Source organism: Homo sapiens, chromosome 8, assembly GCF_000001405.40.
Source record: "Homo sapiens chromosome 8, GRCh38.p14 Primary Assembly".
Lineage (NCBI taxonomy): Eukaryota > Metazoa > Chordata > Mammalia > Primates > Hominidae > Homo > Homo sapiens.
In genome coordinates this window covers 84,669,321-84,692,865 of record NC_000008.11, presented here as the reverse complement: position 1 = coordinate 84,692,865, position 23,545 = coordinate 84,669,321, and the positions used below count along the sequence as shown (strand labels likewise).

The following is a 23,545-nucleotide window of genomic DNA, read 5'->3' as shown; positions in this document are numbered from 1 at the left end:
CCTTTTCTTACTTTGATTCTCCTTCCTCTCCAGTAGAAGGATTCTTGTGATTACATTGACACATCCAGATAATCTGCCATCACTGTCACTGCTACAACCAACAAGACTCAAGCATTTAGAAAAACAGCCAGATCCTGAACTATGCCATACCTGTTACAACATACACATGCAAAATAATGCTACATACTTTGCATTTTTAGCTTTTCAGTTTCTGCAGCAAAAGGATGAATACCAGAAATAGTTGAAATAGATATTTCACTAAATCTACAGATTAATTTGTGAGAAATAGATATTTCACTAAATCTATAGATTAATTTGTGAGAAATGATATTTAGGTCTTCAAATCCATGAACAGGTTTTGCAGGTTTCAGGGTAGTGGTCTTACACACCTTCCATTAGATTTATGCTGAAACATTAGAATTGTAAAAGCTATTCTAAGTGATACCCCTTTAAAATTTCATATTCTATGTTTGATTGCTATTGCTGGTACATAGAATGAAAAATGACTTTGTATATTGACCTTCTGGAACTTCTTAACTAATTCTAACTGAGCAGTCCATATTGTTTTTGATTTTTCTATATGTTCAATCAAGTTGTCTATAAATAGGGATGTTTTTTATTTCTGTCTTCAGTGGCTATGACATCTAGTGTAATACTAAATATAAGTGGTGAGAATGTGCATCTTTTTCTCACTCTTCATTTCAAGGCGTAAAGTTTCAATAATTCATTGCTAAGCATGATTTTACTCATGTGCATGTTTTTCTATTTTCAGAAACTTGTTACATTAAAGACATCCCTTCTATTTTGATTTTCCAAAGTTTTTTTTAAAAATCATGATTGGATATTGAATTTGGTCAAATATATCTACTGATGTATAATTTTTTCTCATTTATTGTGAAATATTTTGGTATATTTTTAAATGTTTTACCATATCTGCATTTCTAGAATAAACCCAATGTGATCATGATATTTTATACTTTCTATGAATCACTGCATTTGATTTGCTAATATTTTGCTCTTGTTTAGGATTTTTGTATCTATGCACATGAGAAAGTTGGACTATATTTTCTCACTCCAGTTATTTTAGTATCACTTCTTTTGCATGTGCTTTCTATCTACCTGGAATATCCCTTTCCTCCCTTTCCTCCAGGGGACTCACTCTCTTCTATTGCTTTCCTAGCACCCCAGGAATCCATCTGATATAGGCCTCACCACTTCTATACAAGATATGAGGGGAGGGGGGAGGAAGAAAGCCCAGCATGTTTGGTTTAGAAGGTGCTCATTTGCTCTTTCTTTAATTAAATGGGGCTGTGCTTAGCTCCTTAGGAATATAATCAGATAATGATTTGGAAGTCTTACTCTTTGTTTTTGAATCTTTCTCAATTCACTGTCATTTCAACTACTTAATGATGAAAATAAACTATGATTAAAGTGCACAGATTTTCTTCCAGCAAAAACATTTAGAGAACTGAAATATAATCTGTACTTGCAAATAGCCAGAGATGGCCAGAGTGCCCTAGATTCTATCTCAAGAGTGATCTGTGGACAAAGATAACCTCCTTGTAAACCAGAATGCCGTATTTTATATATGACAGAAACCAAAGTCCCTTTGGCTTTCCTTCAGGAGAGTTCATCACAAGCCCATTTATCATTTCTAGATCCCATATAAAGTTATCCTGACAAACAATACAAAATGTTTGTAGTCTAATAAAACTAAAGAAAGTAATTTTAACTTTTAGGTTTAATAAATGCCAGACATGTGGAAATTCTTCAAACAGTGCTTTGACTTGCCTGGAAAATGTTATTACTATAAAATGCTTGGAGATGCTAGATTTCTTTTTCTTTTAACCTCAAAAATCAGTCTTACAAAGATAAAAAATTAGCAATTCCACCATTTGAAAGTAGTTATGTCATTTTCCACCTATATAGTTACATTTCTATAACTTTGCTTCACTGATAAATTTATTTTAAAATGTGAATTAATGGATGATATCACCAATATCTCCAAAATCTGGGTCCTCATAATCCAGCTTTAGAATTTATCATCCACTTTCTTCTCTTTAATTTTCTGATTTAAAATATTTAATATTTGGCTATAAGACTTAAAGATGGATTTCTATGTTATATGCATGTGAGAAACAGTTAATTTTATTAAAAACAATAGTTCCTTTACCTTAGAAATTTATTTTTAAATTTTTTTGTTTTTAAATTTTCTAGCTTTATTGAAGTATAATTAACAGATAAAAATTGTATATATTTACAATTTATAATTGTATATGTTTTGATATACATACAAATTAAGAAATGATTACCATAATGAAGCCACTTAACACATCCATTACCATTTTTGTGTGATGAGACCATTTAAGGTCTACTCTCCCAGCACTAGCTATAGCCACCATTCTGTAGGTTAGGTCTCCCAAACTTATTCATCCTGCAAAACTGCAACTTTATACTCTTTGACCAATATCTTCCAATTTCTCCCATTCTTCAGCCCCTGCCAACTACCATCCTATTATCTGCTTTTATGGATTTGATTTTTTTAGATTCCACATGTAAATGAGATCATGTAGTATTTGTCTTTCTGTGCCTCGCTTATTTAATTTAGCATCATGTCCTCTAAATACATCCATGTGGTTATAAAAGACAAGATTTCCTCCATTTTTTAAGGCTCAATAATATTCCACTGTATTTATATGTGCCACATTTTCTTTATCCATTCATTCGCTGATGGAAACTTAGGTTGATTTCATATCTTGGATGTTGTGAATAATGCTGCAATGAACAGAGGAGTGATGATATTTCCACATACTGATTTCATTTCCTTTCAATATACAAGTAGTGTAATTACTGGATGATGTAGCTGTTCCAGATTTAATTTTTTGAGGAACCTCAATACTGTTCCATCAGGGCTGTACCAATTTATATTCACATCAACTGTAAAACTGTTTTTTTTCCACACTTGATGACACTTGCTATCTTTTGTCTTTTTGAAAATAGTCATTCCAAAAAGCACATGAAAAAATCCTCACCATCACTGGCCATCAGAGAAATGCAAATCAAAACCATAATGAGATATCATCTCACACCAGTTAGAATGGCAAACATTAAAAAGTCAGGAAACAACAGGTGCTGGAGAGGATGTGGAGAAATAGGAACACTTTTACACTGTTGGTGGGACTGTAAACTAGTTCAACCCTTGTGGAAGTCAGTGTGGTGATTCCTCAGGGATCTAGAACTAGAAATACCATTTGACCCAGCCATCCCATTACTGGGTATATACCCAAAGGACTATAAATCATGCTGCTATAAAGACACATGCACACGTATGTTTATTGCGGCACTATTCACAATAGCAAAGACTTGGAACCAAGCCAAATGTCCAACAATGATAGACTGGATTAAGAAAATGTGGCACATATACCCCATGGAATACTATGCAGCCATAAAAATGATGAGTTCATGACCTTTGTAGGGACATGGATGAAATTGGAAATCATCATTCTCAGTAAACTATCGCAAGAACAAAAAACCAAACACCGCATATTCTTACTCATAGGTGGGAATTGAACAATGAGAACACATGGACACAGGAAGGGGAACATCACACTCTGGGGACTGTTGTGCGGTCGGGGGTTGGGGGAGGGATAGCATTGGCAGATATACCTAATGCTAGATGACGAGTTAGTGGGTGCAGCGCACCAGCATGGCACATGTATACATATGTAACTAACCTGCACATTGTGCACATGTACCCTAAAACTTAAAGTATAATAATAAATTTAAAAAAAAAAAGAAAAAAAGTCATTCCAATGTGTATGAGTCAGTCTAATAGTGTATGAGTTAATATCTTATTGCGGTTTGGATTTGCATTTTCCTGATAGTTAGCGATGTTGAAATTTTTTTTCGTATACCTGTTGGCCCTTTGTATGTCTTCTCTTGAGAAATTCTTTCGACATCCCTTTAACCATTTCTTAATCAGATTATTTGCTGTTCGCTATTGAGTTTCTTACGTATTTTAGATATTAACCCATTTTGAGATGTATTGTTTGCAAATATTTTCTCCCATTTCATAGGTTGACTCTTCACTCCATGATTGTTTCCCTTGCTGTGAAAAAGCTTCTTAGTTTGATGCAATCCTATTTTTCTACTTTTACTCTTGTTGCCTTTGCTTTTGGGGTTATAGTAAAAAAGCATTGCCCAGATTAATGTAAAAAAAGCTTTTTCCCTATGTTTTTTTCTACTAGTTTTACAGTTTCAGGTCTTATGTTTAAATCTTTAATCAATTTTGAGTTGATTTTTGTATATAGGGTAAAACAAGAATCAAGTTTTTTTCTTCTGCTGCATTAAGATGTCCAGTTTTCCCAGCAACACTTATCGAAGTGATTTTCCTTTCCCCATTGTGTGTTCTTGGGACACTTTAATTGATCACATATGTGTGGTTGTATTTCTGGGTTCTCTCTTTTGTTCCTTCAATCTATATATCTGTTTTTATGCCAGCATCAGGCTGTTTCGATTACTACAACATTGTAGTATATTTTGAAATTATCTTATTGGATACATATTTGCCTTTATTTGTATCCTGTTATTTTGTCACCTAACATTCTAGATTATGGAATTCCAAGGCCTCTTCCAAATAAATTCTATACTGATGAATATTACATATTATTTAACACAGAAAGGCAAGTCTTATCCAGCATTGTTTCATATTACAAATATGCGTTCCTAAGCTAAAGAAAAAAAAAAACTATGAGGAGTGAGAAGTAGCTTAGTTCATCAATGGCAATTGGGGGAGGAATTAAATAAATGAAATACTTTGAGTGTCCATTTGTCCATTTAAATTCTTTTTCTTTTATTTATCCCCAAAAAGAGTAGAATTAACTGATTATGAGTATATTATCTTTCTCATATTATTTCTGTCTGTAAAGTGCCCAAAAAATGAACTGAGCAAAAAGGTGGATGGGATCATGAGAAATAAAAATAAGAATCAAAGGATTTACCTAACAGAGCTTGCATTATAACAGTCATTACATTAACAATCTCAGCAATTTCAATGACACAACTGTCTTCAAGATGTAGTGAGAGAGTGAATACCCCAAACAAAAAAAATTACAGAATTTTTGCAGAAAATAAAAGAAGTTTCTAGAAAACTTCTGTAGAGTACTTCATAGAACCCTAAAAAATTCAGTGTACTACAAGTAGTTTGAATAGGTTCAGTAATTTTGCCAATTATGCAACACATTTTTTAAATTATTACAATTTTTTGTGTTTCAAGTAACTGAGCTAAACAAGATACTTGTCTATATAAAGCAGTAAGTCACTGTAAAACTTAGATTTCAGTGTTCTCAAAGGATCGGAAACTATAATAAATTTGATCATCCATGTGGAATAAGGCCTACGTCTATCAGGAAATCAATTAACCTAATCAGTTGAGTGAAATAATAATGTTGTTTTCACTCGGGTATTTTTTCCCATTCGATGTGCTTCTATCAAGAGTGTTCTGAGTACAGATATACAATACTCAACAAGAGGGAACATTGGAAATTATAAGACATGAAATGAAATGAAATAGACTCATAGACCCTAAGATCATTTTATGCATATGGTAGGCATTTAATAAGTGACTATTAATTGATTTAATGAATCCATGTAATATAAGAATACATTTTGTATTTTGTTAATTTGAAATAGAATAGGTTAAACCTCAAGGAACAATATTTCTTTGGCTGAATTAAAAATTCTAATTAACATTAATTTAAACCATCAAGTTTGTAATATATCAGAACACAAAAAATGAAAACATGATTACCCCTGGATTAGAATTCATGAAGTTGCCATTTTTGTTATTTCAAAGTATGTGAAAGATATTTTCTAACATGGAAAGACTATTTGTAATATTTAATGTCAAGGCAAAGTTAATTCAGTTAGAGTGAAAGTATTTGAAATTTTTACAATGTTGCCATGTTATTAGGTGGGTTACACAAAAAGAAAGGCACATATATAAAATGAAGGTTTTAGACATCAAATGAAGTCAAATTATTTTTCCCGTCATTGGGGGGAATAAGAAATAAATAATCAAATGTTGGAAAAGGAAGTGAATTACAACACTTATGATGATGAAAATATGTTTGATAAAACTTTTAAAAACATTATGATGTAATGGTTGGGTGTGGTGGTTCATGCCTAAAATCCCAGCACTTTGGGAGGCCGAGATGGGAGGATCATTTGAGGTCAGGAGTTTGAGACCAGCCTGGCCAACATGGTGAAACCCAGTCTCTACTAAAAATACAAAAATTAGCTGGGCGTGGTGGCATGCACCTGTAATCCCAAACACTCAGGAGGCTGAGGCAGGAGAATTGCTTGAACCCGGGAGGTGGAGGTTGCAGTGAACTGAGATTGCACCACTGCACTCCAGGTTGGGCGACAGAGCTGAACCCAGTCTCAAAACAAACAAACAAACAAACAAACAATATGATGTATTAATATAGCTAAATAACATGCTGGCAGTTTGCCAAACATGATGTTCTCTTTCACACTTGGTCCCCTCTATGCATGTTGTTTCCTTGGCCTGGTTCCCTTTCCTCTTTTCTGCTGATATATAGCTTTTCATGTTAGAAGGCTCAGTTTACTTCACCACTTTTGTGATAATTTTTCCAACTGTTCATGGCACAATTATTGTCAGTTTTGCTATAATGCCTGTTTTGAAAAAGTAAATTTGTTCTAAAGGAATTGATAAAAAGAAAAAAATTAAGGTTACTTATGCATGATTTCCTCCATGAGAAACATGTGGGGAATGCAAAAAAACTGCACCAGCTGTGTCCAAGCTAAGTGGAGATACACAAAATGTACCCTAATCCACACATACCACAAACATGCACCAGCTCTCTCCATTCACTGGGTGTTTTATAAGCCACACCTATCTGCACCTAATACAACCTTTCCTCTGATTTCAGCTCACTGTCCTCCTACTTCCTAATAATTCACAAGCTGCAACCCTTTTAATACTCACTTCCAAAAGCAAACCAGATTTTATGGTAAAAATACCCACATTATTGTATCATGTATGTGTTTCTTAACTATTCACACACACACAAACATTGTCATTTTCATTAGATTCTTATTTTTAAAAATATGGCAGTGACAAAATTTTTGAATGCTGAACTCCAAGCCCATTTGATCATTAGCCCTGTGTTTTTTAAATTGTGTAATTCTACATGGTGTGATAATTTTTCAGGAACATGTATGTCATATTTATAACAGAACTGACTATACTACCATTAGTAACTTCTGTGATTCAGTAGTACTTAGCATACTGAGTTGCATTTATTTGTATACTTACCTATTTTCTCCACTAGAATGTGCAAATGTCCTAAATTGGGAGAGAATCAGGTACTAGAAAGGAGCTGAATAGTGCTGAGGAGGGTGGTGGAATGAGGGCTGGTAGTGGAGACGATGGTGGGGGTTGGGTAAAGAGCAGGAAGGGAACTAGGATGAAGACTAGTGCAGTAGCCTCACCTGGTGGCATAGAGTTGATGGGTTACAATGGGTAGAGAAAAAAGTAGACTGTATCTTCTCTCTGAGCTACAATCAATCAATCAATCAATCAAATGACCATTCAAACCCACTGATTTCACCTCACGGCTGCTCTTCTGTTTCTTTCCTTCTCCCCTGTTATGGACTCAATGTTTGTGTCTCAATACATTCCCATGTCAAAACCCCAGCCTCCAATGTGATTGTATTTGGAAATGGGGCCTTTGGGAGGTAATGAGTTAGACGAGGTCATGAGGGTAGAATCCTCATAATAGGATTAGTGCCTTCATAAGGAAAGACACCAGAGAGCTTGCTCTCTCTTTGCTCCCACAAAGAAGTCACGTGAGCACACAGCAAAATGGCGACTGCCTACCAGCTGAGAGGAGGCCTCAGGTAAAACTTGCTTTGCCAGCCCCTGGATGATTGATTTCTCTACCTCCTAAACTGTGCAAAAAATAAATTGCTGTTGCTTAAACTTCCCTATCTATGACAATTTGACAGGGCAGCCTGAACTAATACATCTTCATAAATACAAACTGTACCCTGACATGTATGTAAGGTATGCATATATGCCATGTATGGCCTTTCAAAGTCTTGATTGATTTCTCTCACCTACAGAAAAAAGTTTGGGTATCTTAAAATGTCATGCCAATTCTTACACGATTTTAATTCTGCATACCTTTCCAGCCTCAGGTCTTCTCAGTTCTGACCTTTCAAATACTAACTTCTTTGTAGTTCTTTGAACACAGATAGTGTTTTCTCATCAATGCTTTTGTCCACACAAATTCATTGCTTAGGATGTCATTTCTCTTCATCTTCAAATGCAATCTTCTAATTTCTTTAATATGGAGCTCAATCAAAAACTTTTCCAGAAAGCTTTACCTCAGGCTAGTCGGTGCTTTCATAATTCCCACTGAGTCTCCTTATCATTGCCTTGGGCATATCTGTTTATATTTGATTATATGCTCCTTGAAGGCAGTGATCATCTTCCTCATCCTAATTCATAGTGGGTACTCAATAAATATTTATCAAATAAACATAAATGGTCAGCACAGTAACTTGGCACAAGTATCACGTATTCAGTAAATGACAATTACTATTATTATTTTATAATGTTGAAGTCTTTTTTGTGAAGTGGTTATTAACAACTCCATACAAAGTTAGGATTCCAATGAAAAGATGTGTTTTCATTTGAAAGCCTTCAGGGCTCAGTCATGTCATGTTAGCAGTGAGTAGTGCTGAATTTGGCATAATAGTTAATGATCTTATTTACGTCTTCCAAGCAATCCTCAGTAGCATTTTTTTACCATGCTCTGATCAAAAACATACCAGCTACAGCCAGGCATGGCTCAACGCCTGTAATCCCACCACTTTGGGAGGCTGAGGTGGGTGGATCACCTGAGGGATCGAGAGTTCCTGATCGGGAGTTCGAGATCAGTCTGGCTAATATAGTGAAACTTGGTCTCTACTTAATATACAGAATAAGCTGGGCATGGTGGCACATGCCTATAATCCCAGCAACTCAGGAGGATGTGGCAGGAGAATCGCTTGAAATCAGGAGGCGGAGGTTGCAGTGAACCGGGATTGTGCCACTGCACTCCAGCCTGGGTGACAGTGTGAGACTCAGTTTCAAAACCAAAACCAAAACCAAAACCAAAAACAAAACAACAAAACAAAAAAACCTAGCTTCTACACAAAAGCGTCTAATCTCAGCCCCAGTGCTGTATAGATGTAGTTGTGCTAACCATGCAAATCTGGTATCTTTCAACATCCATTGAACAAGTATGAATCTTATATGCACCCAATACAGGAGCACCCAGATTCATAAAGCAAATCCTTAGAGACCTACAAATAGACTTAGACTGCTACACTATAATAATGGGAGACTTTAACACCCCACTGTCAACATTAGAAAGATCAACGAGACAGAAAGTTAACAAGGTTATCCAGGAATTGAACTCAGCTCTGCACCAAGCAGACCTAATAGACATCTACAGAACTCTCCACCCCAAATCAACAGAATATACATTCTTTTCAGCACCACACCACACCTATTCCAAAATTGACCACATACTTGGAAGTAAAGCTCTCCTCAGCAAATGCAAAAGAACAGAAATTATAAGAAACTGTCTCTCAGACCACAGTGCAATCAAACTAGAACTCAGGATTAAGAAACTCACTCAAAACCACTCAACTACATGGAAACTGAAAAACCTGCTCCTGAATGACTACTGGGTACATAACAAAATGAAGGCAGAGATAAAGATGGTGTTTGAAATCAATGAGAACAGAGACACAACATACCAGAATCTCTGGAAAACATTCAAAGCAGTGTGTAGAGGGAAATTTATAGCACTAAATGCCCACAGGAGAAAGCAGGAAAGATCTAAAATTGACACCCTAACATCACAATTAAAAGAACTAGAGAAGCAAGAGCAAACACATTCAAAAGCTAGCAGAAGGCAAGAAATAACTAAGGTCAGAGCAGAACTGAAGGAAATAGAGACAAAAAAAAACCCATCAAAAAATCAATGAATCCAGGAGCTGGTTTTTTGAAAAGATCAACAAAATTGATAGACCGCTAGCAAGACTAATAAAGAAGAAAAGAGAGACGAATCAAAAAGACGCAATAAAAACTGATAAAGGGGATATCACCACTGATCCCACAGAAATACAAAATACCATCAGAGAATACTATAAACACCTCTACACAAATAGACTAGAAAATCTAGAAGAAATGGATAAATTCCTCGACACATACACTCTCCCAACACTAAACCAGGAAGAAGTTGAATCTCTGAATAGACCAATAACAGGCTCTGAAATTGAGGCAATAATTAATAGCCTACCAACCAAAAAACGTCCAGGACCAGATGGATTCGCAGCCGAATTCTACCAGAGGTAAAAGGAAAAGCTAGTACCATTCCTTCTGAAACTATTCCAATCAATAGAAAAAGAAGGAATCCTCCCTAACTCATTTTATGAGGCCAGCATCATCCTGATACCAAAGCCTGGCAGAGACACAACAAAAAAAGAGAATTTTAGACCAATAACCCTGATGAACATTGATGCAAAAATCCTCAATACAATAATGGCAAACCAAATCCAGCAGCACATCAAAAAGCTTATCCACCATGATCAAGTGGGCTTCATCCCTGGGATGCAAGGCTGGTTCAACACACACAAATCAATAAACGTAATCCAGCATATAAACAGAACCAAAGACAAAAGCCACATGATCATCTCAATAGATGCAGAAAAGGCCTTTGACAAAATCCAACAGCCCTTCATGCTAAAAACTCTCAATAAATTAGGTATTGATGGGACGTATCTCAAAATGATAAGAGCTATCTATGACAAACCCACAGCCAATATCATACTGAATGGGCAAAAACTGTAAGCATTCCCTTTGAAAACTGGCACAAGACAGGGATGCCCTCTCTCACCACTCCGATTCAACATAGTGTTGGAAGTTCTGGCCAGGGCAATCAGGCGGAAAAAGGAAATAAAGGGTATTCAATTAGGAAAAGAGGAAGTCAAATTGTCCCTGTTTGCAGATGACATGATTGTACATTTAGAAAACCCCATTGTCTCAGCCCAAACTCTCCTTAAGCTGATAAGCAACTGCGGCAAACAGTTAGGATACAAAATCAATGTGCAAAAATCACAAGCATTCCTATACACCAATAACAGACAGAGAGTCAAATCATGAGTGAACTCCCATTCACAATTGCTTCAAAGAGAATAAAATACCTAGGAATCCAATTTACAAGGGATGTGAAGGACCTCTTCGAGGAGAACTACAAACCACTGCTCAACAAAATAAAAGAGGACACAAGCAAATGGAAGGGCATTCCATGCTCATGGATAGGAATACAGTGAAAATGGCTGTACTGCCCAAGGTAATTTATAGATTCAATGCCATCCCCATCAAGCTACCAATAACTTTCTTCACAGAATTGGAAAAAACTACTTTAATGTTCATATGGAAGCAAAATGAGCCCACATTGCCAAGATAATCCTAAGCAAAAAGAGCAAAGCTGGAGACATCATGCTACCTGACTTCAAACTATACTACAAGGCTACGGGAACCAAAACACCATGGTACTGGTACCAAAACAGAGATATAGACCAATGGAACAGAACAGAGCCCATAGAAATAATGCCACATATCTACAACTATCTGATCTTTGACAAACCTGACAAAATCAAGAAATGGGGAAAGGATTCCCTATTTAATAAATGGTCCTGGGAAAACTGGCTAGCCATATGTAGAAAGCTGAAACTGGATCCCTTCCTTACACCTTATACAAAAATTAATTCAAGATGGATTAAAGACTTAAATGTTAGACCTAAAACCATAAAAACCCTAGAAGAAAACCTAGGCATTACCATTCAGGACATAGGAATGGGCAAGGACTTCATGTCTAAAACACCAAAAGCAATGGCAACAAAAGCCAAAATTGACAAATGGGATCTAATGAAACTAAAGAGCTTCTGCACAGCAAAAGAAACTACCAACAGAGTGAACAAGCAACCTACAGAATGGGAGAAAATTTTTGCAACCTACTCATCTGACGAAGGGCTAATATCCAGAATCTACAATGAACTCCAACAAATTTACAAGAAAAAAAACAAACAACCCCATCAACAAGTGGGCGAAGGATATGAACAGACACTTCTCAAAAGAAGACATTTATGCAGCCAAAAGACACATGAAAAAATGCCCATCATCACTGGCCATCAGAGAAATGCAAATCAAAACCACAATGAGATACCATCTCACACCAGTTAGAATGGCAGTCATTAAAAAGTCAGGAAACAACAGGTGCTGGAGAGGATGTGGAGAAATAGGAACACTTTTAAACTGTTGTGGGACTGTAAACTAGTTCAATCATTGTGGAAGTCAGTGTGGCGATTCCTCAGGGATCTAGTACTAGAAATACCATTTGACCCAGCCATCCCATTACTGGGTATATACCCAAAGGATTATAAATCATGCTGCTATAAAGACACATGCACACGTATGTTTATTGGGGCACTATTCACAATAGCAAAGACTTGGAACCAAGCCAAATGTCCAACAATGATAGACTGGGTTAAGAAAATGTGGCACATATATACCATGGAATACTATGCAGCCATAAAAAAGATGAGTTCATGACCTTTGTAGGGACATGGATGAAGCTGAAAACCATCATTCTCAGCAAACTATCGCAAGGACAAAAAACCAAACACCGCATGTTCTCACTCATAGGTGGGAATTGAACAATGAGAACACATGGACACAGGAAGGGAACATCACACACCGGGGCCTGTCGTGGGGTGGGGGGAGTGGGGAGGGATAGCATTAGGAGATATACCTAATATTAAATGACGAGTTAATGGGTGCAGCACACCAACATGGCACATGTATATACATGTAACAAACCTGCACGTTGTGCACATGTACCCTAAAACTTAAAGTATAATTTTAAAAAAAAGAAAAAAAATAAAGATGTGAGTCTGACCCTCTAGATCAGGTAAACTAAATTCAATCTTTCTATCCAATTTCCCTGGCTTCATCAGTGCTGAATCCAAAGTATCAGGTCTGTTAGTGGCCATCAGCACTTAATATTGCCTTGAGGGTCAAAGCCATCCAACTGATGAATTAGTTCTCACATTTTTCTCTGTACTTCATTGTCACCTCCAGCACCATCATCAAACTGAGCTCTTCCAATAGCATCAGTTTCATCAAAGAAGATAAGGCAGGCGTTTCTTGTTCTGGCCATTGGGAAGAGCTCATGAATCATTCCAGCCCCTTTGCAGATATATTTCTGTAAAAGTTAATATCCAATAACTCAATGAAGCAAGCATCAGTCCTATTTAGCAACCACCTAAGCACAGAGTGTCTTGCACCTAGTGGACCAAAGAGCACACTCTTGGGAGGCTCCATGCCAAGGTTAACAAATCTCTCTGGATGAAGTAGTGGGGTTTCAACTACTTACAATGTCTCAATCTGTTCCCTACAGCCAACAACATCACTGTATATGACATCAGGTTTTTACTCCACTGGCATCATGGTAATTGTTGGATCAATCTTAGAAAGTATGGGAATATGAATTTAATACTTACATTCTTCCACATCAAATTTCATCCCTGCCTCAATGTCAGTAGATCACTGAGGTCTGCCATAAACTTAGCAATCTGCTCCACATTGACAATGTATTTTGAGTTCTCAGAATCAGCATTTACTATCTTTCTACACCTTGCAACCTGTAAACATTGTTCACCCTGGAGCATTTGCTTATTTGCAGCCAAATCCCAGAGTGCTGGTGGTGGCCAGGCTAGTGTCAGACTCTTTAACACTACTGAGATAATTAATTTTCTTAAGAAGTTGTTGAATGTCATTCTCAACCTGCTTAATCTGCCTAGAATAAGTGCTCTGACCACGATTTTTCAGCAAGGCAGTATCCTCTTCATTCAGAGCTCAAAAGTGTTTGTCATCCTTCTCATCCTTTTTGATTTTCCACTGATCAGCACTGAGGTAATCCAGCATTTTAAGAGATGCCAGTGCTTCAGCTCCTTAGTGATTACACCGCCTTACTATTATTTCTTTTATGCACTGTTGCTAGTGAACTTTTAGCTTTCTGCAGGAAATGTGAAAGTAATAAAGAGACTCAAGAAAGAACTCCATGTTGAAATAGGTTTGTACAATTTTTCTGACCTTTTGCAGCCTCCTTTTAAATTCCTTATCATATGCTTGTTTGCATTAAAAAACGCTACACTTGGCTGGGCACAGTGGCTCACGCCTGTAATCCTAGCACTTTGGGAGGCCGAGGTGGGTGGATCATTTTAGATCAGGAGTTTGAAACCAGCCTGGCCAACATGGTGAAACCCTGTGTCTACTAAAAATGTGAAAAAAATTATCCGGGTGTGGTGGTGCATACCTAAAATCTCAGCTACCTGGGAGGCTGAGGCAGGAGAATCGCTTGAACCTGGGGTGTGGAGGTTGCAGTGAGCTGAGATATCGCCACTGCACTCCAGCTTGGGTGACAAAGTGAGACTCCATCTCAAAAACAAAAACAAAAACAAAAAAACAACAAAAAAACTATACTTGCAGGGCAAAGGAGGTCATTTTTATAGGAAGTAATTCATAAAACTGACAATTTAGCTGTAGTAATCAAGAGTTGTCCATTCCCATATAGACAATGTTAAAAAATAAAGGGTGAAAAGCAAAGTGCTTTTGTATGACTTATGATATCGGTGGAATTTGAAATTTAGAACTAAGGATTTTTTTTCAATTGGTTGGTAATTTAAGAGAAAAGTAATATCACTTGACTTCACTCTGAAGCACACATCCAGAAAAATCTATAGCTCTAGCACTCCAGAGAAGTTCAACCTCCTATAAATGAAGAAATAGAACGTGGTTTTATTTTCCACTTGTGATGTACATAAGTTTATTTCTTGAAAAATGCTATCTGAGGTGAGTAAAGGGAAAGTAGCCTAGGCTAATAATTTAGACTAGAAGTACATGCATTGAAGGTACATTGAAAATGTCATAAAAAAAGTCATTTCACGTGGGAGCTGGGTTAGCCATAGCTTTAAGAAGTTTTCTTTAAAAACAGCTTTACCTGAGAAAGCAGCTGAAATAACTGCATCTTTCATTTTCTTTTATTGCACAAAATATCAATAAATACTGCTGGTTTTAAGCATTTTCTATTTAGAAGCAATCTTTATTCTTTTCTATTTCCAGTTTTATCACCAGTTTAAATTCTTAGATAGAATATGTTATAGGTACACTTTTCTGATTCAAAAAATCTCTGAAAAACACATTTTGTTCAGATCATTAAGAAATAGGCAAATTATTTATTCTTGCTATTATAACATATCATTTCTTAGTAGGTAATCTATTCCTATTCCCATTTATACTTTTATTTCCTTTTAAGGTTATAAGTAGTACAATGACCAGGTTTAACTGTTTATATTATTTCCAATCTATACTTACTGCTATATGAAAATATCTGAACCATGTTATTCAAAATACATTTTACAAACATAATAATTTTAACTTTTTATTGGTCTATTTAATAAAAGGCTAATCAAGATCAAATTTTATTTTATCTGGGACATTGACAACTCGGGAAAAACAAGTTTAGCTTTGAAGGCTTAATAGATATAGCTCTGCCTTGATAAAATCTTTTGGCTTCTTCATTCCTTTAATTCTTCATTTCTTCCTTTAAAGTACAAGAGTGCATTACGGGCAGGGTGGCTCATGCCTGTAATCCCAGCACTTTGGGAGGCCCAAGAGAGTGGATCATGAGGTTGGGAGTTCGAGACCAGCCTGGCCAATATGGTGAAACCCCGTCCATACTAAAAATACAAAAATTAGCCAGGTGTGGTGGCATGTGCCTGTAGTCCTAGCTACTTGGGAGGCTGAGCAGAAGAATTGCTTGAACCCGGGAGGCAGAGGTTGCAGTGAGCTGAGATCAGGCCACTGCATTCCAGCCTGGGTGACAAAGCGAGACTCTGTCTCAAAAAAAGAAAAAAAAAATCTTTTAATATGTAATCAAGCGCAAGCAATAAAAAATATTTTGAAAGGATTATAACTTTTGCATTCATTTCTATGTTTCCCCATAACTCCAAGCACAGAAAGGCCTTAATAATCATTTAATTGAGGCTTAATGATGGCATAACCAGCTATTATATAGCTTCTTGAAATCCAGAAGGCTGTTTTAGGATTGGGTGGGGACCTTAAATGGTCATTTGCTATTAAGCACGATCACACTAAAATTCTGGAGACAGATTCAGTTATCTCATGGACTCATTGTGAAATCAGTTTGCTCACATAACTAAATGCTAACTGGGACAAGGGATTTGGGAGCACACTGGGAATGTTAGGACATGGTTTTGATTGCAACATTCTCATAAACTATCTATAGGAAAAAAGGGGTTATGCCTACAATCAAGCTTTGTATATTTGCATGCAAGCCACAAACTAAGACCTATTTCTGCTGTATGGACATCTGCAAAATCTCAGGGACTATTTGGAGAAAGGAATAAGCTGCATTTCTGATATAGTCATAGTATAAGCAACCCAAATTGGCCATCCATATCTCTACATTAGTGATTCCTGGTTTTTGCAATTGCAATTACTTGGATCAGAAAAAATCCAAAGAGAAAATATTCTTTCATGTAAGGACATTTATAAAATATTATTGCTCATCATTTCATTTATTTATTTATTTTCCCATTTTTTCCAGCCTTGTTGAGGTATACTTGACAAATAACAGTTGGATATATTCGAGATATACAGTGTAATGATTTGACATACACATGAATTGTGAAATGATTGCCACATTACACTAATTAACACATCAATTGCCTTGCAGTTCTCTTTTTAGTTAAGATTCACCAATTCATGTGCTCTTTTTGTTGGTGACCAATAATATATTTCCCCCTTTTTATTTGTACAAATCTACGCAGTACACGTGCAATTTTGTTACATGCATATATTGTATAGGGGTAAAGTCAGGGCTTTTAGAGCACCCATCACCTGAATAATATACATGGTGGAGAAGACGATCTAACGTCTATGGACTATGGTGAAACGCCAAGGAGAATATCTACAGAAAAGGGGGAACTCAAAAAGACAAACTTTTTGGATGTGACCAAACACATAAAACAGTGAGGAATTCCACAGAGAAACAAAGTTGGCCTTTCAGAGAAAAAGAGATGTTTCAATTTGATAATATTTGTATGAGCATGAAAATCATCAAATACTGGTTACCTAAGTCAAAAATCAACTCCTAAAATTTCATTTTATAATTCAGTTTTGAAAATATTCCTCAAGTATAAACTAATTTTTATCTTTTTGAAGTAAATTTTAAACTAATATTTGGGGAATTAGGTCTATTCCATTCAGTTCGCCTATCTCCTATTTAAGGAGCCATTTGTAAGCCTCTATTAAGTCAAATTTCTTAAAAACATCAGTAGAAAAGTAACAGAATTGGTGGACTGGTTATACCTTAATACATACTTTTGAAAAAAGAGATTCTTCAAATAATCTCAAAACCACCCAAGTCATCCAAAGTTACATTGTAATTTAAGGAATAAGAACATTTAATAAGCATATTTTAAAAGTTTAGTGAAAAATTCAAGTTTATATTCAACTTAAATATTTATTTGCTAAGCCTTCAGAAAAAAATGTATTTCTCAAACAGCATGGAATTGGAAATACGATAAATCTTATTTGTTATGGGTTTTATGGTTTAAAAACCTTCAATTTAACAAGTTACAAACATAATTACATTTTTAAGAACTCAGAGCTACTTAACAGTAGATAGCAGTAAATTTTAAGTCTTCCTTTTTTTTTTTTACATCTGCACTATTGGCATATATCTTCTTATAATCAAATTTTAAATAAACATAAGTAAGAATAAATCCAAGAAACAACTTTAACTCAAACTGTGCTTACTTTGTATACAATTTGGTTTCAAAAATATAAGAAATGTACCTTCTTCTAAGTGTTCTGTAATCTTGGATTTCATGCGTAATAACCTAGTAAGCAAGTAATGACTGCACTAAGAGCTAAAAAGGAAATTTTATCAAATTTTATTGAGTATTCTCCATATGCTAAAAATATGCTAAGAATAAAAGACAAATGGTCCTGTCCACCTGGATTATACAGCCTTGATGAGATAATGATAAAAAGAATTACCTTTGAAGTACTTTTAAAGTACTGTGTAATCATCCAGAGTGTACATCTTGGCCTTTGGAAGGAGTAGGAAGAGCCAGAGATAACTACAAAAGAATGCTGTGTTTAGAGTAATGTTGAAAGATAGGGCAGTCACAGCCAATATCATACTAAATGGGCAAAAGCTGGAAGCATTCCCCTTGAAAACTAGCACCAGACAAGGATGCCCTCTCTCACCATTTCTATTCAATATAATATTGGAAGTTCTGGCCAGGGCAATCAGGCAAGAGAAAGAAATAAAGGCATTCAAATACAAAGAGAGGAAGTTAAACTATCCCTGTTTGCAGAAGACATGGTCCTATATCTAGAAAACCCCACCATCTCAGCTCAAAAGCTTCTTAAGCTAATAAGCAACTTCAGCAAAGTCTCAGGATACAAAATCAATGTGAAAAAATTACTAGCATTCTTATACACCAACAACAGTCAAGCCAAGAGCCAAATAAGGAATGAACTCCCATTCACAATTGTCACAAAAAGGATAAAATACTTAGGAATACAGCTAATTAGGAAAGTGAAAGATCTCTACAAAGTGAACTACAAACCACTGCTCAAAGAAATCAGAGATCACACAAATTAAAAAAAATCCCATATTCATGGACAGGAAGTATCAATATCATGAAAATAGCCATACTGCCCAAAGCAATTTGTAGATTCAATGCTGTTCACATTAAACTACCATTGCCATTCTTCACAGAATTAGAAAAAACTATTTTAAAATCCATATGAAACTAAAAGGGAACCTAAATTGTCAAGTCAATCCTAAACAAAAGAAACAAAACTGGAGGCGTTGCACTACCCAACTTCAAAGTATACTACAGGGCTAGACTAACCAAAGCAGCATGGTACTGGAAGAACAGACACATAGAGGGCCAATGGAACAGAATAGAGAACCCAGAAATAAGACTGTGCACCTACAATTATCTGATCTTTGACAAACCTGACAAAAGCCAGCAATGGGGAGAGGATTCCCTATTCAATAAATTGTTCTGGGATAACAGGCTAGCCATATGCAGAAGATTAAAACTGGACCCCTTCCTTACATCATATACAAAAATCAACTCAAGATGGATTTTAAATGTAAAATGTAAATGTAAAACCCAAACCTATAAAAATCCTGGAAGACAACCTAGGCAATAGCATTCAAGATATAGGTACGAGCAAAAATTGCATGACAAAGACACCCAAAGCAATTGCAACAAAAGCAAAAATTGAAAAAATGAGATTTAATTAAACTGAAGAGCTTCAGCACAGCAAAAGAAACTACCAACAGAGTAAACAGACAACCTAAAGAATGGGAGAAAATTTTTGCAGTTTACCCATCTGACAAAGGTCTAATATTCAGCATCTACAAGTAACTTAAACACATTTACAATAAAACAAACAACCCCATTAAAAAGTAGGCAAATAACATGAACAGACATTTTTCAAAAGAAGACATACATGTGGCCACCAAGCATATGAAAAAAAGCTTAACATCACTGATCATTAAATGCAAATCAAAATCACAATGAGATACCATCTAACACCAGTCAGAATAACTACTATTAAAAAGTCAAAAAATAACAAATGCTGGCAAGGTTGTGGAGAAAAAGGAACACTTATACACTGTTGGTAAGAGGGTAAATTAGTTCAGCCTTTGTGGAAGACAGTGTAGATTCTCTGCAGATTTGACTAGTGCAATAACATGAACACATTTACAGAAACTGGAGCTTTTTGGTTGATATGGTTTGGTTGTGCCCTCACCCAAATCTCCTCTTGAACTGTAGCTCCCACAATCCCCACATGTCATGGGAGGGACCTGGTGGGAGGTAACTGCATCATGGGGGCAGGTTTTCCTGTGCTGTTCTCATGATAGTGAATAAGTCTCATGAGATCTGAAGGTTTTATAAAGGGCACTTCCCCTGTACATGTTCTCTTGCCTGCCACCATGTAAGATGTGCCCTTGCTCCTCCTTTGCCTTCTGCCATGATTATAAGACCTCCCCAGTCATGTGGAACTGTGAGTCCATTAAATCTCTTTTTCTTTATAAATTACCCAGTCTTGGGTAGTTCTTCATAGCAATATGAAAATGGACTAATACAGTAAATTAGTACGAAGTAATGGGGTGCTGCTGTAAAGATACCCAAAAATGTTGAAGTTACTTTGGAACTGGGTAACAGGCAGAGGTTGGAACAGTTGGAGGACTCAGAAGAAGACAGGAAAATGTGGGAAAGTTTGGAACTTCCTAAAAACTTGGAAGGCTCATAAGACAAGATGTGGGAAAGTTTGGAACTTCCTAGAGAATTGTTGAATGGCTTTGACCAAAATGCTGATAATGATATGGACAATAAAGTCCAGGCTGAGGTGGTCTCTGATGGAGATGAGGAACTTGTTGGGAAATGGAGTAAAAGTGACTCCTGTTATGCTTTAGCAATGAGACTGGCAGCATTTGACCCTGCCCTAGAGATCTGTGAAACTTTGAACTTGAGAGAGATGATTTAGGGTATTTGGTGGAAGAAATTTCTACGCAGAAAAGTATTAGAGATGTGACTTGGGTGCTCTTTAAAGCATTTAGTTTTATTCATTCACAAAGATATGGTTTGGAACATTTAAAATGTTTGGAATGTTTAAAAGGGAAGCAGAGCATAACAGTTTGGAAAATTTGCAGCCTGACAATGCAATAGAAAAGAAAAACCCATCTTCTGATTTTCTGAGGAGAAAATCAAGCTGGCTGCATAAATTTGCATAGTAATGAGGAGTAAATGTTAACTGCCAAGACAATGGGGAAAATGTTTCCAGGGCATGTCAAAGACCTTCCAGCAGCCCCTCCCATCACAGGCCCAGAGGCCTAGAAGGAAAAAATGGTTTCGTGGGCTGGGCCCAGGCCCCCACTGCTGTGTGTAGCCTTGGTACTTGGTGCCCTGTGTCCCAGCTGCTCCAGCCTTGACTAAACTGTGCCAAGGTACAGCTCAGGTCAGGGCTTCAGAGGGTGGAAGCCCCAAGCTGTGGCAGCTTCCATGTGGTGTTGAGTCTGTGAGTGCACAGAAGTCAGGAATTGAAGTTTGGGAGCCTCTGCCTAGATTTCAGAGGATGTATGGAAACACGTGGATGTTCAGGCAGAAGTTTGCTGCAGGGATGGGGCCCTCATTGAGAACCTCTGACAGGGCAGTGTGGAAGGCAAATGTGGGGTTAGAGCTCCCTACGCCCACAGTCCCCACTGGGGCACTGCCTAGTGGAGCTGCAAGAAGAGGGCCCCCATCCTCCAGACCCCAGAATGGTAGATCCACCAACAGTTTACACTGTGTACCTGGAAAAGACACAGACACTCAATGCCAGCCTATTACAGCAGCCAGCAGGGAGGGCTGTATCCCGCAAAGCCACAGAGACAGAGCTGGCCAAGACTGTGGGAGCCCACCTCTTGCATCAGCATGACCTGGATGTGAGACATGGTGTCAAAGGATATCATTTTGGAGCTTTAAGATTTGACTGCCCTGCTGGATTTTGGACTTGCATAGGGCCTATAGACCCTTCGTTTTGGCCAGTTTCTCCCATTTGGAACAGGTGTATTTACCCAATGCCTGTACCCCCATTGTATATAGGAAGTAACTAACTTGCTTTTGATTTTACAGGCTCTAAACAGAAGGGACTGGCCTTGTCTCAGATGAGACTTTGAACTGTGGGACTTTGAGTTAATGATGAAATGAGTTAAGACTTCGGGTGACTGTTGGGAAGGCATGATTCGTTTTGAAATGTGAGGATATGACATTTGATAGGGGCCAGAGGCAGAATGATATGATTTGGCTCTGTCCTCACCCAAATCTCATCTTGAATTATAGCTCCCATAATCCCTAATGTGTCTTCAGAAGGACCTGGTGGGAGGCAATTGAATCATGGGGGTGGGCTTTCCCATGCTGTTCTCATGATAGTGATTAACGCTCACAAGATCTGGTGGTTTTATAAAGGGCAGTTCCCCTGCACACACACTCTTGCCTGCTGCCATGTAAAACATAGCTTTGCTCCTCCTTCACCTTCCACCATGATTGTGAGGCCTTCCCAGCTATGTGGAAATATGAGTCCATTAAACCTCTTTTTCTTTATAAATTACACAGCCTTGGGTATTTCTTCATAGCCATGTGAAGAAGTACATAATACATTGGTGTAAGGCATTGTGAAATTTTTTACATAATTTTTATAATCATCACTTTGTTTGGGGGAGATCAGATGTCTGACATTTCTCTTTCTCAAGGGATAGTCAACAGAAATTGCTAATTTGTGTACAAGTATTGTGTTCAATATGAGTTGAATGTCCAGCAGCAAGAGTTGTGTAACTCCTCAAGTGGGAAAAGTATAAAAAACAACAAAAGAGCTTTGAAGTCCTTCATCTGTATTTTTAGGGAAAAAATATTAAAAGTGATCTTAGGCAGAAAGTCCATGACCAGGATCCCATTATCAGTGGGAAATTAGTGCAAGAGGTGGGAGGTTATTATTAGTTTTTTTTTTTCAGCAGGAAATAGTCAGAGAAGATGCCTTAAAATGAAGGAAAAAAAGAGCCCTGTTTCAGAGGAACAAGCTCTCAAGAATTTTGATATAAAATAAGCAAGAATCAGCACCAATCCCCTTGGGGGTGTTTTGAGACTATATTAAGAAAGATGAACATAAAGAGAGAGTGAAAAGACTAGGAATCGGTTGAAATGCGCACTTGTAGTTTGCAAACTGCTCTATTTACAAACAGATGCAAAATACTTGGTGTTTGACAGAAAATAAGTTATGCTTATTTTAATAAGTAGATAATTTTTTGAGAATTTTTCATTTACTTAGCTATGGTATGAATCTAGGGCAGGAGTTGGGACACACCTTCTCCATTAGTAATGGAAGTACACCACTGACTTGAGGTCTGGACTGTAAAAAGTGAATGGCCATCTTATATGATAGGGTGTTTTGAATCCTTGACATTTGATGTGGACAGACTTGATCAACAGCATGCTCAGCTCCAGAATCTTAAGCAAATTAATGCAGGAACAGAATACCAAATATCACATGCTCTCACTTATAAGTGGGAATTAAACACTGAGCACACATGGACATAAAGATGGGAACAACAGACACTGTGAACTAATAGAGTGGGGGGGGGGGGAGGGGGGAGGGAGAAGATGTGGGCTGAATAACTAACTACTGGGGACTATGCTCACTACCTGGATGCAATATACCCATGTAACAAACCTGCACGGGTACCCCCTCTATCTAAAATAAAAGTTGAAATTAAAAAAAAATGCTCAGAAGCACATGGGTGTTCCAAAATGG

General features: G+C 36.9%; 1 protein-coding gene and 1 pseudogene across 55 annotated transcripts in view; both read right to left on the bottom strand.

The window, feature by feature from the left end:
- The window catches only part of RALYL (RALY RNA binding protein like), a 739,058-nt gene that overhangs the window by 228,979 nt on the left and 486,534 nt on the right, over positions 1-23,545 (bottom strand). The window lies entirely within an intron of this gene.
- PSMC2P2 (PSMC2 pseudogene 2) lies at positions 13,023-14,117 on the bottom strand (annotated as a pseudogene).